We start from the raw sequence: 13,608 nt of genomic DNA on the forward strand, positions 1-13,608 counted from the left end.
AAAAATACAAAAAATTAGCCGGGCATAGTGGCAGGCGCCTGTAGTCCCAGCTACTCAGGAGGCTGAGGCAGGAGAATGGAGTGAACCCAGGAGGCAGAGCTTGCTGTGAGCCGACATCGCACCACTACACTCCTGGGCGATAGAGCAAGACTCCGTCTCAAAATAAGTAAATAAATTAAATAAATAAATACATAAAAATAATCATAAGGAAGAATTTTTGTTTTTTTTGAGACGCAGTCTCGCTCTGTTGCCAGGCTGGAGTGCAGTGACGTGATCTCGGCTCACTGCAACCTCTAACTTCTAGGTTCAGGCGATTCTCCTGCCTCAGCCTCCCTAGTAGCTGGGACTACAGTCGCGTGCCACCACGCCCAGCTAATTTTTGTATTTTTAGTAGAGACGGGGTTTCGCCATGTTGGCCAGGAGGGTCTCCATCTCTTGACCTCGTGATCCACCTGCCCTGGCCTCCCAAAGAGCTGGAATCACAGGCGTGAGCCACCGCGCCTGGTGGAAAAAATATATTTTCTATTCATTAAGTGGAAGTGAAGAGATCGTCATAAAGATCTTCGTGTTGAGAAAGCAGAGGAGGAGGAAGAGGAGGGATTGATCTTGGTGTCTCACAGCTGATAGAGGCAGAAGAAAATCCACATATAAGTGGACGCGTTCAGTTCAAACCGTGTTGTTCATGGGTCAACTGTACTTTGAAAAGTGCTCCCTCTGGTGGCTGTGGGGGGTGCAGGGAGACCAGAACAGTCTAGATGCTGGTGCTGGGTAGTGGGGAAAGTGGTGGGACTGAGTACTGAGGAGGAGGAGCTGGAGAATGCAGGAAAAGGGGGAATTGGGCCAGGTGGGGTGGCTCACACCTGTAATCCCAGCACTTTGGGAGGCTGAGGTGGGCGGATCACCTGAGGTTGGGAGTTCGAGACCAGCCTGACCAACATGGAGAAACCCCGTCTCTACTAAAAATACAAAATTAGCAGGGCGTGGTGGTGCATGCCTGTATTCCCATCTACTCGGGAGGCTGAGGAAGGAGAATCTCTTGAACCCGGGAGGCAGAGGTTCCGGTGAGCCAAGATCATGCCATTGCACTCCAGCCTGAGCAACAAGAGCAAAACTCTGTCTCAAACAAAAGGAAGAAAAGGGGGAATCAGAAGGACTCCAAGGGCTTGGAAAGGGGGTGTGGGTCTTGGAAATGATGGAGTAGGACGTAATTGGCCCTGGGCCTGAGTCTCAAGGCCAGAGCTTCAGAATTCCACTCCTGTGCACTGGAAGAGCAGGCCCACTGGGCTGGGAAGGCACAGGGCTGCCTGGAGCCATGTGAGTGTAGTCAAGGTTCCCGCTGGATCTACCCTCTCCTGCAGCTCCGTGGATGGCCGCGTGAGACGCTATGACCTAAGGATGGGGCAGCTCTTCTCAGACTACGTGGGCAGTGAGTGTGGCTGGGGATGTGGGACAGGCAGGGAAGATGGGGGGCCAACCAGGGGCACCCCACCCTCACTCACCTACCCACCCTTCCCCCAAGGCCCCATCACCTGCACCTGCTTCAGCCGGGATGGGCAGTGCACCCTGGTGTCCAGCCTGGACTCCACATTGCGGCTCCTGGACAAAGACACAGGGGAGCTGCTGGGCGAGTGAGTCCTTGTGGTCGTGGGGATCCCCTTCCCTCCTCTCCCACCCCTGGAGAGGACCAAGCCCCCCGATCCTGTCCACCCTTAGGTACAAGGGCCATAAGAACCAGGAATACAAGCTGGACTGCTGCCTGAGCGAGCGTGACACACATGTGGTCAGCTGTTCTGAGGACGGGAAGGTGTTCTTCTGGGACCTGGTGGAGGTGAGGTGCCCCCAGCCCTACTTCATACCTAGATGCCTGCCCCATCTCAGCCCTGTCCTTACCTCAGTCACTCCAGGGCCTGAAGGCTAGGATCTTTTTTTTTTTTTTTTTTTTTTTTTTGAGACAAGTCTTGCTCTGTCGCCCAGGCTAGAGTGCAGTGGCGCAATCTTGGCTCACTGTAAACTCCGCCTCCCAAGTTCAAGCGATTCTCCTGCCTCAGTCTCCTGAGTAGTTGGGATTATAGGTGCGTGCCACCACACCCAGCTAATTTTTGTATTTTTAGTAGAGACAGGGTTTCACTATGTTGGTCAGGCTGGTCTTAAACTCCTGACCTCATGATCCACCCACCTCAGCCTTCCCAAGTGCTAGGATTACAGGCGTAAGCCACCACACCCGGCCCTTTTTTCTTTTTTTGAGACTATTGCCCAGGCAAATGCAGTGGCGCCATCTCAGCTCACTGCAACCTCTTCCCCCCAGGGTTCAGGTGATTCTCATGTCTCAGCCTCCTGAGTAGCTGGGATTACAGGCCCCTACCACCATACCTGGCTAATTTTTGTATTTTTAGTAGAGACAGGGTTTCACCATGTTGGCCAGGCTGGTCTCAAACTCCTGACCTCAAGTGATTCACCCGCCTCGGCCTCCCAAAGTGCTGGGATTACAGGCCTGAGACACCGTGCCCAGCTTGGGCTAGAGAGAAGATGAGGCAGGAAGGGCATTCCAGGCAAAGGGAACAGCATATGTTAAGAGGTGTAGCCTGCGCATGCATCAGTCAGGAAACAAAGGCTTCAGGGTGGCGGCAGGTGCGGCAAGATCCGGGGTCAGGCTGGGCTGCAGATGCCAGGCCGAGCAACTGGCACTGACCCCTGGGCAAGGGGGAGCCGACGGCCATGTCTAACCTTGGGTGAGATAGGGCTGCAGTCATTCAAGAAACTGGAGCTACATCTTAGCATCCCTGTGCATGGTTTCAAGCCCTGAGCCCTGTCCTTGACATGTCCCAGCCTGGTGGGGAGTCAGGCCAGAAACAGACCATCCTGGTGTAGTGGGGTCAGAGCCGGGGGAATCTCGGCAAAGGAGACATCAGCGCTGGGCTTGGCCAGGGGAACTAAGGCCCATAAGAGGATGGAGGGAACCGGGGGGGCCCTGAAGACTTGGCGGACAAGCTCTTGCTTTAGGAACTAAGGTAGCAAGAATGTTCCACCTATTTCTTATGGGCCCAGTAGAACAGAAGTTGCCTTGGAGGGCAGGCACATCAAGGGACATTTTCAAGGTGGAAAGAGGAAGCATGGCTTGCTTGAGGAACTGTTTACATTGTGTTGGGACCAGGGGAAGTGGGGATCATTGGGGCTGCCAAATGGACAGGATGGAGCCCAGCTGGTGGCAGGGAACAGGCAAGCTGTGAGCAAGGCATGCTCCAAACATGGTAGTGGCAGAAAATCAGCAGTCTCTGGACATGGTCTAGAAGCAGAGCCAAGAGGAATAACTGATAGAGGAACATGTGGTACAAGAAAAAGACTCCCGGCCAGGCATGGTGGTTCACACCTGTAATCCCAGCACTTTGGGAGGCCGAGGGGGGTGGATCACGAGGTCAGGAGATAGAGATCATCCTGGCCAACATGGTGAAACCCCATCTGTACTAAAAATACAAAAATTAGCTGGGCATGGTAGCGCGTGCCTGTAATCCCACCTACTCGGGAGGCTGAGGCAGGAGAATCGCTTGAACTAGGGAGTCGGAGGTTGCAGTGAGCCCAGATGGCGCCACTGCACTCCAGCCTGGCGACAGAGCAAGACTCCATCTCAAAAAAAAACAGAAAAAGAAAAAGACTCCCAAAGCCAGGCATGGTGGCTCACACCTGTAGTCCTAGCACTTTGGGAGGCCAAGGCAGGAGGATCACTTGAGGCCAGGAGTTCGAGACCAGCCTGGGCAACATGGTAAGACCCCATCTCTGCTATTTTAAAAAATAAAAAATCAATAAGAGGCTCCCAAGACTTGCGGCCTGAACACCTGGTAGGACAGAGCTACTGAGGGGCTCAGTCTGAGGTAGATTAATTTTGCAGTGTCTAGGAGGCAATTAGAGGCAGGTGGCTGAAGGTCGGGGAGAGGTGACTGAGGGCTTCAGGCAGGACTGAGATGGGGGGTGCCCAGGGACCTCAGAAACCAGGGTACAGCCCAGCCACAGATAACCACTCCCTACCCCTCGCTCCACAGGGTGCGCTGGCTCTGGCCCTGCCTGTGGGTTCCGGTGTGGTGCAGTCGCTGGCCTACCACCCAACAGAGCCCTGCCTGCTGACCGCCATGGGAGGCAGCGTCCAGTGCTGGCGAGAGGAGGCCTATGAGGCAGAGGATGGAGCAGGCTGAAGCCAGGGGACCCACCAACAGGACCAAGGACCGAGACACAGACATGGAAGGACTTCAGATACCATCTTATTCTAGAGACGTAGCTGACCAAAAAGTAGGGGAGGGGCTGGGTCTGCAAATTAATAAATAGAAGAGGGGGTAAGACCTTCCTGGGACCGCAGCCGCTCAGTCCTCGTTCTTCTCATGCATGAAGGCATCCATCTTCTGGGCAAAGGTTTCAGCCACAAGCAGGGGGAAGACCAGGGAGGCGTCAGCATAGACCTGGGTAGGGGGGAACCTGGGTAAGCCATGGGACCCACACTCATCGTCCCAGAGACCCTATGCCCCACCCAGCCAGCGCTTACCTTGACGGGCTGTGCATCCACCCGGATCTTGCCCCAGGAGACAGCCTCGTCTGGTCGGGCACCTGAGTCAGAGCCATCAAACTCCTGGGCTGTGTTGATGTAAACAGCGTAGTCGGCCCCGTTCCGCTGTGGGGAGGCGGGGGCACGGTGGGCCCAGTCAGCCAGTCACAGGAGACAGACACAGAGGGAGGACACCGTAGCCAAACAGGCTGAGAGGTGTGTCCCAGATGAAGGAAGCCCTTCACAGACATTCGCTCCCAGACAGGGCCCATGTCAATGTCTGGGGTCACTAGAGCTGCTGGGCAACGATGGCTGTGTTTCCCCAGACCCAACAGCCAGGTGTCAACAACCCTGCCCCATCTGCAAGGCAGGAGCTGCCAGCAACTCTATCTTCAGAAGCCCTCCAAATCCAACCACCGCCTGCCTCCTGATCCCTGCATGGTCACCACTGTCCTGGACTGGAGTTCTCACTCACCTGCCACCATCTGTTCACCACATGGCCACCAGGGGGAGCATGGGAACCCGAGTCAAGTCCTCTCCCACTTCTCTCAGTGCAAAAGCCAAAGCCCCGCCTCAGCCCACAGGGCCCAGCAGGCTCCCTGTGGCACCTCCCTGCATCACCTCCTGGCCCTCACCACTCCACCTTCCCCTCACCAGGTACCCAGCTGTTCCTGGATTACTTCAGGCGCCCCAGAGCCTTTGCAATGGCTGTTCCCTCTCCTGGGAACTTTGCAATCCAGAAGCTCAATGCTAGTACAGCAGCACAAACTCCTGGCACGGGAGACAACCACATAGCTCCTGGGAGATGCCTCCCCAAACCCCTGCTCCCAGCTCACACTTCCAGAAGCCTCCTTCCAAAACCTCTTGTTGGACAGCACCCCTTTCTCTTCTCATGCCATCATTTAGTATTCCCCGTAGCAATGACTGCCCCCTGACGTGGATGTCACTTGTTTGCTATCTCCCCTACTAGAACATCAGTCCCGGGGAGCAGGGATCCTGGCCTGTCTAGTTCATGCTGTCTACCCAGCACATGGCATAGGCCCACCACACAGCATGTCTGCAGAGTGGGCCGAAGCGCCACCCCCACTCACCATGAGGTTGGCATTGGCAATGTGGTGCTTGACCACGCCCCCGCCCAGAATGATCATCCCAGTGCACTTGGCAAAGATGGCCTGTGTGTTGATGAGCCTCAGGTCTGGGGGAAGAGCGCCGAAGTCAGGCCTTGGACTCAGCCAGCCCTCCTTCCCCTCTCCTCTGTGGCCCTAGCGCCTCACCCTCAACGATGTCCAGGACCAGGCCCGGGTTCTTGTAGGAATGGAAGAAGATCATGTCGCCCAGCGAGCCGTCTGTAAGTGCGGGACTAAACACAGGGATGTGGTTCTGCAGAGAACATGACAGGACAGTGGCTGGAGCTCAGAGCCTCGTCTCCATGCTGGCTATATGACTATCTGACTGTGGATGGGGTGCCTAATTTCTCTAGGACTGTTTCCTCAATTATAAGCATAACAGAAACACCTCTCACAGATGAGGCCTATATGAGAAAACCCACAGAAAACACTTAGTATAGTGCCTGGCACATAAAGAACCAGCCTATTCTTAGCTTGCTGAGCTGTTTCTCTCTCTTTTTTTTTATTCCCTGAGACGGAGTTTCACTCGTTGCCCAGGCTGGAGTGCAATGGCACTATCTCAGCTCACTGCAACCTCTGCCTCCTGGGTTCCAGTGATTCTCCTGCTTCAGCCTCCCGAGTAGCTAGGATTACAGGCGCATGCCACTATGCCCAGCTAATTTTGCATTTTGTTTTTTTAGTAGAGACAGGGTTCCACCATGTTGGCCAGGCTGGTCTTGAACTCCTGACTTCAGGTGATCCACCCGCCTCAGCCCCCAAAGTACTGGGATTACAAGCATGAGCCACCGTGCCCGGCCGTCTAATTCTTTTTTAAAGAGCCAGCTTGTGGCCGGGCGCGGTGGCTCACGCTTGTAATCCCAGCACTTTGGGAGGCCGAGGCGGGTGGATCACCTGAGGTCAGGAGCTCGACACCAGCCTGACCAACATGGAGAAACCCTGCCTCTACTAAAAATACAAAATTAGCCAGGGGTGGTGGCACATGCCTATAATCCCAGCTACTTGGGAACTTGATGCTGAGGCAGGAGAATTGCTTGAACCCAGGAGGTAGAGGTTGCTGTGAGCCAAGATTGCGCCATTGGACTCTGGCCTGGGTAACAAGAGCAAAACTCCGTCTCAAAAAAAAAAAAAGAGCCAGCTTGTGCAACATGGTGAGTTCCCATCTCTACAAAAACAATTAGCCAGGCATGGTGGCACGCACCTGTAGTCCCAGCTACTCAGCAGGCTGAGGCAGGAGAATCGACTGAGCCCAGAAGCTCAAGACAGCAGTGAGCCATTATTGTGCCATTGCACTCCAGCCTGGGAAACAGAATGAGACCCTGTCTCGTAAAAAAGAAAGAGTAAGTAGGCTGGGTGTGGTGGCTCACCCCTGTAATCCCAGCACTTTGGGAGGCCAAGGCGGGTGGATCACTTGAGGTCAGGAGTTCAAGACCAGCCTGGCCAACATGGTGAAACCCCATCTGTAGAAAAATACAAAAATTGGCCGGGCATGATGGTGGGTGCCTATAGTCCCAGCTACTCAGGAGGGTGAGGCGGGAGAATCACTTGAACCTGGGAGGTGGAGGGTGCAGTGAGCTGAAATCACACCATTACACTCCAGCCTGGGCGACAGAGCAAGACTCTGTCTCAAAAAAAAAAAAAAAAAAAAAAAGACTATGTAGCTTTTTTTTTTTTTTTTTCAGGTTCTGATTCTCTAATTAAAGGGAGTGGGTAGCTCTTATTTTATAGCATCTGGGAGTGTGGGACCCTGAGCCAGGCCCCAGGAGAGTTGCTAAGTGTTGCCTCTACTGTTCCAGAGATAGTCTGGGAGGAGCATAAGGATGCTGAGGCCCCACTAGTTATCTGTGTGACTTCAGACAAAATTACCTAGCCTGGCTGGGCACAGTGGCTCACGCCTGTAATCCCAGCACTTTGGGAGGCCAAGGTGGGAGGACTGCCTGACGCCAGGAGTTCAAGACCAGCCTGGGAAACACAGGGAGACCCCCATCTCTACAAAAAATTTTTAAAATTAGCTGGGCATGATGGCATGTGCCTGTGGTCCCAGCTACTCGAGAGGCTGAGGTGGGAGGACTGCTTGGCCCCAGGAGGTTGAGGCTGCAATGAGCTGTGATCACACCACTGCACTCCAGCCTAGGTGACAGAGCAAGATCCTGTCTCAAAAAAAAAAAAAATTACCACGCCTATCTGTGTTTGAGTCTCCTCATCTAAGAGTGAGGATGCTGAGAATAACAGTACTGAATCCCCAGGAGGCTGGAAAGATGAAATAAGTTAACACATGCCAAAGTCTGGCTACTTTGCTCCCGCTTAGGTCCTCACCTTCTGGGCCCAGTAATACACGGACTCTGGGTTGTTGATCTCCTTGCCCAGCCGGGCGATCATCTTAGAAGGCGTCCACTTTACACCCTAGGAGAGGATGTGACCTTCAGGCCATGCCTCCCCTGACTCCCACTGAACTGGCCCCTCCAGGTTGCCCCAGCCCCACCTCTGTGTTCTGCTCCATCACCATCTGGTCCAGAATGGGCATCAGCCAGTCCTCAAACTTGCAGTAATTCTCATTGGGCACCAGCAGGTTTCCGATCCTGAGAACAGGAGGCATGTAGGCATCAGGCCCCAGGACCCTTGGTCCAGCTCCCCTGCCCAACACCACTCAGGGTTCTCACCTATTGATCCCGTTCTCCCGGAGCTCCTTCCCCCTGAGGCTAAACTCGCCCAAGTATGTGGGCGCCAGGCACTTGATGAGGTCTTCCTCCACGCCGCCAGCTGTGGTCACCAATACGTCCACCTGCAGCCACAAGGCAGTGAATTTGGCCCAAGAAGGAAGCCCCTGCCCTCATTCTGGGCAGAACTTCTAACCTCATCCTTGTCCAGTGACTCTTATGAGGGAGCTCTGCTACAAAACAAAACTTGATTCTATTCCTCTGCTTATAACAGACCCCTATCTGCCCATCTCACTTAAACGATCAATAACTGCATTGCCCATTGACCCAGAGGCCAAGGCCACGGCCTCACCAGGTCCCCACCATGTTGTGCTGCACAAGGTAGCGAATGGTCTCACGGATGCCTGAACTGATGAGGTTGGATGTATATCCCAGGAAAATGGTGCAGCTGGTAAGTGGGCGGCGGCTCTGGGTCAGGTCCGCGTGCTGGTCTTCATCCTGTGACAGTGGTTCCAGCTTCTTCTCGATCTGTGAGTAAGGGCCAAGTCAAGTTAAGCACTGGCCTTAAATCCCAGACTCAGGACTCCAGGTGGGCTCCAGAAACAGATTTCACCCCAGGCCCTGCACATTCAGGGATACAGGACCAGTTCTACAGGGGACCAAGGAACATCTCCTGTGTAAACTCTGCCCCTTCCCAGACCAGATCTCAAGACACACGTTCAGGATTTGCCCCCACCCTTTTTTTTTTTTTTTTGGACGGAGTTTCACTCTTGTTACCCAGGCTAGAGTGCAATGGCGCGATCTCGGCTCACTGCAAGCTCCACCTCCCGGGTTCAAGCGATTCTCCTGCCTCAGCCTCCCGAGTAGCTGGGACTACAGGCGCGCACCACCATGCCCGGCTAATTTTTTGCATTTTAGTAGAGACGGGGTTTCTCCATGTTGGTCAGGCTGGTCTCGAACTCCCGACCTCAGGTGATCCGCCCGCCTCGGCCTCCCAAAATGCTGAGATTACAGGCATGAGCCACCGTGCCCGGCCTTTTTTTTTTTTTTTTTTTGAGACAGAGTATCGCTCTGTCACCAGGCTGGAGTGCAGTGGCGCAATCTCAGCTCACTGCAACCTCCACCTCGCGGGTTCAAGCGATTCTCCTGCCTCAGCCTCCCGAGTAGCTGGGACTACAGGCGCGCAACACCATGCCCGGCTAATTTTTTGCATTTTAGTAGAGACAGGGTTTCACCATGTTGGCCAGGCTTGTCTCGAACTCCTCTTCTCTTGATCCACCCGCCTCGGCTTCCCAAAATGCTGGGATTATAGGCATGCGCCACCGCGCCCAGCCAGCCCCCACCCTTTTAGGAATCAGAGAGCATCTCCTTTCAGATCCGGTCCCTTCCCCGCTGGGAAAAGCAAATCTAAATTCAAGAACCGCCCAGACTTAGGCTCCTCCTCCCATATCCTCCCTTAATTTGTCTTGCCCCAGGCTCCGCCCATTCCAGAAAGCTTTAAATGTACCTAGAACCCGCCCCCACACCAAGAATCAGTCCTCGCCTCCTCAGGTTACCGTACCAGCATGTAACTACCAGAGTGCAAAATCCCCTTCCCAGGACAGAAACTCCCGCCCAGAATAGGTCCCGCCTTCCTCCAACTATTGGGCAACTCAAATAAAAGACATATCCCCTCCACTGGAAACGCTGCCCCCGTCTAGTACCGCGTTGGTTCTACAAGCCACGCCCCTCCGCGTCCCTAGAAATTCCGCCCGGTCCTCACCATGGCATTGACTTGCTGTACAGCGCGCCCGAAGTTGGTTGCTTGGAAGCCGGTGGTGCCGAAGGCCTCCAGCAGTGCGCGGTAATTCACACCGCGGTTGAAGTCGTAGCCCCGGACCTGGGTGCTTTCGGGCGGCAACGTCGAGCTGTGCTTTAGCACGGCGGCCAGCGCCCCCGCTGGCGCCTCCCGTTCCAGGGAACCTTCCATGCGCCTATAGCCGGCTCTCGAGTCAAAGCTGCCCCTAGGCCGGGCTTACGGCGGCCCAGAAACGCGTTAAACCCCGACGCGCGCGTCTCCGCAAGAGCACAGGAAGTAGGGAACGTGCTTTGGGCGAAAGACCGGAAGTTGGTTTATCACGTGACCATTTTTAGCCCCTGTAAACCAGGTCGCCGCCATTTTTGTGCGTGTGTTCCGTAATACGGAAGCCGCGAGGAGCCTTTAGGCCCTTTCTTTCTTTTTTTTTTTTTTTTTTTTTTTGAGACGGAGTCTCGCTCTGTCACCCAGGCTGGAGTGCAGTGGCGCGATCTCAGCTCACTGCCAGCTCCGCTTTCCGGGTTCACGCTGTTCTCCTGCCTCAGCCTCCCGAGTAGCTGGGACTACAGGCGCCCACCACCACGCCCGGCTAATTTTTTTGTATTTTTAGTAGAGACGGGGTTTCACCTGGTCTCGATCTCCTGACCTCGTGATTCGCCCGCCTCGGCCTCCCAAAGTGCTGGGATTACAGGCGTGACCCACCGCGCCCGGCGCCTTTAGGCCTTTTCTTCCTTTTTTTTTCTTTTTTTTTTTTTTGATACAGGGTTTCGCTCTTGTTGCCCAGGCTGGAGTGCAATTGCCCGATCTCAGCTCACCACAACCTCCACATTCCGGGTTCAAGCGATTCTCCTGCCTCAGCCTCCCGAGTAGCTGGGACTACTGGCATGCACCGCCATGCCCGGCTAATTTTGTATTTTTAGTAGAGGCGGGGTTTCTCCCTGTTGGTCAGGCTGGTCTCGAACTTCCGACCTCAGGTTATCCGCCCGCCTCAGCCTCCCAAAGTGCTGGGATTACAGGCGTGAGCCACTGCGCTTCGGCCTTTACTTGTTTTCATGTGTTCTCGACTTCCCATGAATGAAGATTCTTTTTTATTTTTATTATTTATTTATTTAATTTATTTTTGAGACAAGAGTTACACGCTCTTGTTACGCAGGCTGGAGTGCGGTGGTGCAATCTTGACTCATTGCAACCTCTGCCCCCCTGGTTCAAGCGATTCTCCTGCCTCAGCCTCCCGAGTTGCTGGGATTACAGACACCCACCACCAGGCCTGGCTAATTTTTTATTTTTAGTAGAGATGGCATTTCACCATGTTGGCGAGGCTGGTTCTGCCCTCAGGTGACCGCCCGCCTGGGCTTTCCAAAGTGCTGAGATTACAGGTGTGAGCCACCGTCCCCAGCCAAAATTCCTATTTTAATGCCACCTGCTGGAGACCCACTGCTTGGCCCGGCACTCGCCCATTCGTTTCTGTTCTGTCCCCTCGGGAGGGGAGGATGGTTTTGTTGTTGTTGTTGCTGTTTTGTTTGTTTGTTTGTTTGAGCTAGAGTCTTGCGCTGTCTCCCAGGCTGGAGTGCAGTGGCACGATCTCGGCTCACTGCAACCTCCGCCTCCCAGGTTCACGCCATTCTTCTGCCTCAGCCTCCCCAGTAACTGGGACTACAGGCGCCGGCCACCACGCCCGGCTAATATTTTGTATTTTTAGTAGAGACGGGGTTTCACCGTGTTAGCCAGGGTAGTCTCGATCTCCTGACCTCGTGATCCGCCCGCCTCAGCCTCCCAAAGTGCTGGGATTACAGGCATGAGCCACCGCGCCTGGCCTGCTGCTATTTTTTGATAGGGTCTCACTCTGTCGCCAGGCTGGAGTGCTGTGACGCGATCTCGGCCCACTGCAACCTCTGACTCCCGGACTCAGGTCATCCTCCCACCCCAGCATTCCGACTAGTGTGCACCATCGTGCCCAGCTAATTTTTTTATGAGGGTCACTTTTTTTTTTTTTTTTTTTTTTGAGACAGAGTCTCGCTCTGTCGCCCAGGCTGGAGTGCAGTGGCGCAATCTCGGCTCACTGCAAGCTCTGCCTCCCAGGTTCATGCCATTCTCCTGCCTCAGCCTCCCGAGTAACTGGGACTACAGGTGCCCGCCACCACACCCGGCTAATTTTTTCTGTTTTTAGTAGAGATGGGGTTTCACCGTGTTAGCCAGGATGGTCTCGATCTCCTGAACTCGTGACCCGCCCGCCTTGGCCTCCCAAAGTGCCAGGATTACAGGCGTGAGCCACTGCGCCCGGCCGAGGGTCACTTCTTAAGCGTCACCCATGGACAAGATTTCGGTCACCAGGCAGAGTTAGACACAGTTTCATCCTTCCTCAGCCACTTTTGTCTAATGGGATAGTGAGCCCGGTTCGTGCCCTCACAAGTCTCCAAAGCCTTCACATGCTGCATAACGCTCTGTTCTTCCTTCCCTTATAGCTGCAGCTGTCACCTCCACCTCCTCTGGGAAGCCTTCCCTGAACTCCCACTGGGTCAGTGGCCTCTTCTGGGACCCAGGGCTGACGTCTCTTTCCCTCCTGCAAGAATGTGAGACCCTGGGTGTCATCTGTATCTCAAACACACCCTCCTAACAGTGCATACGGCCAACAGGATTATTCACTCACTCTACAATTCATGTAGTCTATTCTCTATGGTGGGCTCCGTGCTAGGCACTAAGGATTTAGTGGTGAACAAGACCAAGATGTGGACCCTGCCCTACTGGAGCCCACAATCTGATTGGGAAGATAGAAAGTTAACAATAGTGGTGAGTGCTATCAGGCCTTTTTTGTTTTTTGTTTTTTTTGGAGACAGAGTTTCGCTCTTGTTGCCCAGGCTGGAGTGCAATGGCGCGATCTCCACTCATCGCAACCTCTGCCTCCCAGTTTCAAGCAATTCTCCTGCCTCAGCCTCCCGAGTAGCTGGGATTACAGGCATGAGCCATCACGCCCGGCTAATTCTTGTATTTTTAGTAGAGATGGGGTTTCACTATGTTGGTCAGGCTAGTCTCGAACTCCTGACCTCAGGTGATCTGCCTGCCTCGGCCTCCCAAAGTGCTGGGATTACAGGTGTGAGCCACCGCGCCCAGCGCAATCAGGATTTAAACAGGATAATTTGAGTCTTTAGGTGGAGGAGTTCGGGATTTTAGTTGGAGGGATGGGTGAAGGACGCCAAGGAGGTGAGATTTGAGCCAAAGCCAGAAGGCTGAGAAAATCCCCGTATGTGAAGATGCAGAGAGGCCATTTCCTGCACATGGGAAGACAGAACAGCAAAAGCCGTGAGGCTGGAATGAGCCTACCTTGTTGGAGGAGACAGACATCCTCCTTGACATCCTCGCTTGGACCTCAAAGTTGCCCCCTCAGCTCCCTCTCCACCTATCCCTGATCTTTCTGCATCTCAGCAAACGGCCCCACCCTCCACTCATCCACTAGACTGAAAAATAGGGATTGGGGCTGGGCGCGGTGGCTCACACCTGTAATCCCAG

At 54.2% G+C, this 13,608-nt stretch overlaps 2 protein-coding genes across 13 annotated transcripts in view, besides 9 other annotated features; one reads left to right on the forward strand and one right to left on the reverse strand.

Annotated features, from left to right (window-relative positions):
- Nucleotides 1–4,344, forward strand: part of WDR83 (WD repeat domain 83) — a 9,026-nt gene extending 4,682 nt beyond the window's left edge. For all 3 annotated transcript variants that reach the window (NR_029375.2, NM_001099737.3, NM_032332.4), the window contains 4 exons: nucleotides 1,359–1,426; nucleotides 1,520–1,628; nucleotides 1,714–1,828; nucleotides 4,035–4,344. Coding sequence is in view for 2 of the 3 variants with exons in the window: in NM_001099737.3 (NP_001093207.1) it covers nucleotides 1,359–1,426; nucleotides 1,520–1,628; nucleotides 1,714–1,828; nucleotides 4,035–4,184 (442 nt within the window). In the remaining variant the exon portion in view is untranslated. The remainder of the gene's footprint in view (nucleotides 1–1,358; nucleotides 1,427–1,519; nucleotides 1,629–1,713; nucleotides 1,829–4,034) is intronic.
- Nucleotides 423–1,003: a transcriptional cis regulatory region, noted in NCBI's record as "genic|chr19:12782725-12783305 region (GRCh37/hg19 assembly coordinates) targeted for CRISPR interference". NCBI's record gives its function as "positively regulates DHPS gene expression in K562 cells {active_cell/tissue: K562}" and the evidence as "EXISTENCE:mutant phenotype evidence [ECO:0000015][PMID:31784727]".
- DHPS (deoxyhypusine synthase) lies at nucleotides 982–10,392 on the reverse strand. 10 transcript variants are annotated; one of them, NR_161468.1, is made up of 11 exons: nucleotides 10,072–10,392; nucleotides 8,673–8,837; nucleotides 8,313–8,434; nucleotides 8,135–8,231; nucleotides 7,969–8,055; nucleotides 5,803–5,908; nucleotides 5,620–5,723; nucleotides 4,529–4,654; nucleotides 4,330–4,445; nucleotides 1,536–1,596; nucleotides 982–1,092 (listed from the first exon to the last, which is right to left on the reverse strand). NR_161468.1 is itself a non-coding variant. In NM_001369693.1 (9 exons), exons 4-9 carry the CDS (start codon nucleotides 8,174–8,176, stop codon nucleotides 4,350–4,352), a joined length of 561 nt encoding a protein of 186 aa, NP_001356622.1. In that variant the 5' UTR covers nucleotides 8,177–8,231; nucleotides 8,313–8,434; nucleotides 8,708–8,837; nucleotides 10,072–10,392; the 3' UTR covers nucleotides 4,229–4,349. The 10 variants fall into 10 exon arrangements, 6 of the variants coding, with proteins under 6 accessions (NP_001356622.1, NP_001356620.1, NP_001921.1 ...); NR_161469.1 differs by lacking the exons at nucleotides 982–1,092; nucleotides 1,536–1,596 and having other exon boundaries at nucleotides 4,229–4,445; nucleotides 5,803–5,888; NM_001369693.1 differs by lacking the exons at nucleotides 982–1,092; nucleotides 1,536–1,596 and having other exon boundaries at nucleotides 4,229–4,445; nucleotides 8,708–8,837.
- Nucleotides 4,919–4,968: an enhancer, noted in NCBI's record as "active region_14071". NCBI's record gives its function as "activates an Ori minimal core promoter by ATAC-STARR-seq in GM12878 lymphoblastoid cells {active_cell/tissue: GM12878}" and the evidence as "EXISTENCE:reporter gene assay evidence [ECO:0000049][PMID:35858748]".
- Nucleotides 9,623–10,123: a transcriptional cis regulatory region, noted in NCBI's record as "promoter|chr19:12791925-12792425 region (GRCh37/hg19 assembly coordinates) targeted for CRISPR interference". NCBI's record gives its function as "positively regulates WDR83OS gene expression in K562 cells {active_cell/tissue: K562}" and the evidence as "EXISTENCE:mutant phenotype evidence [ECO:0000015][PMID:31784727]".
- Nucleotides 9,623–11,089: a biological region, named in NCBI's record as "CRISPRi-FlowFISH-validated WDR83OS regulatory elements". NCBI's record gives its function as "regulatory_interactions: WDR83OS".
- Nucleotides 10,043–10,566: an enhancer, noted in NCBI's record as "NANOG-H3K27ac-H3K4me1 hESC enhancer chr19:12792345-12792868 (GRCh37/hg19 assembly coordinates)". NCBI's record gives its function as "activates a minimal SCP1, AML or CMV promoter by ChIP-STARR-seq in naive H9 embryonic stem cells {active_cell/tissue: H9 hESC(naive)}" and the evidence as "EXISTENCE:reporter gene assay evidence [ECO:0000049][PMID:30033119]".
- Nucleotides 10,149–10,683: a transcriptional cis regulatory region, noted in NCBI's record as "promoter|chr19:12792451-12792985 region (GRCh37/hg19 assembly coordinates) targeted for CRISPR interference". NCBI's record gives its function as "positively regulates WDR83OS gene expression in K562 cells {active_cell/tissue: K562}" and the evidence as "EXISTENCE:mutant phenotype evidence [ECO:0000015][PMID:31784727]".
- Nucleotides 10,207–10,501: an enhancer, noted in NCBI's record as "tiled region #9902; HepG2 Activating DNase matched - State 1:Tss, and K562 Activating non-DNase unmatched - State 1:Tss". NCBI's record gives its function as "activates a minimal TATA promoter and a strong SV40 promoter by Sharpr-MPRA in HepG2 and K562 cells {active_cell/tissue: HepG2 | K562}" and the evidence as "EXISTENCE:reporter gene assay evidence [ECO:0000049][PMID:27701403]".
- Nucleotides 10,567–11,089: an enhancer, noted in NCBI's record as "NANOG-H3K27ac-H3K4me1 hESC enhancer chr19:12792869-12793391 (GRCh37/hg19 assembly coordinates)". NCBI's record gives its function as "activates a minimal SCP1, AML or CMV promoter by ChIP-STARR-seq in primed H9 embryonic stem cells {active_cell/tissue: H9 hESC(primed)}" and the evidence as "EXISTENCE:reporter gene assay evidence [ECO:0000049][PMID:30033119]".
- Nucleotides 11,613–12,135: an enhancer, noted in NCBI's record as "H3K4me1 hESC enhancer chr19:12793915-12794437 (GRCh37/hg19 assembly coordinates)". NCBI's record gives its function as "activates a minimal SCP1, AML or CMV promoter by ChIP-STARR-seq in naive H9 embryonic stem cells {active_cell/tissue: H9 hESC(naive)}" and the evidence as "EXISTENCE:reporter gene assay evidence [ECO:0000049][PMID:30033119]".

This window comes from Homo sapiens, chromosome 19 (assembly GCF_000001405.40).
Source record: "Homo sapiens chromosome 19, GRCh38.p14 Primary Assembly".
In the NCBI taxonomy this organism is placed as follows: Eukaryota; Metazoa; Chordata; class Mammalia; order Primates; family Hominidae; genus Homo; species Homo sapiens.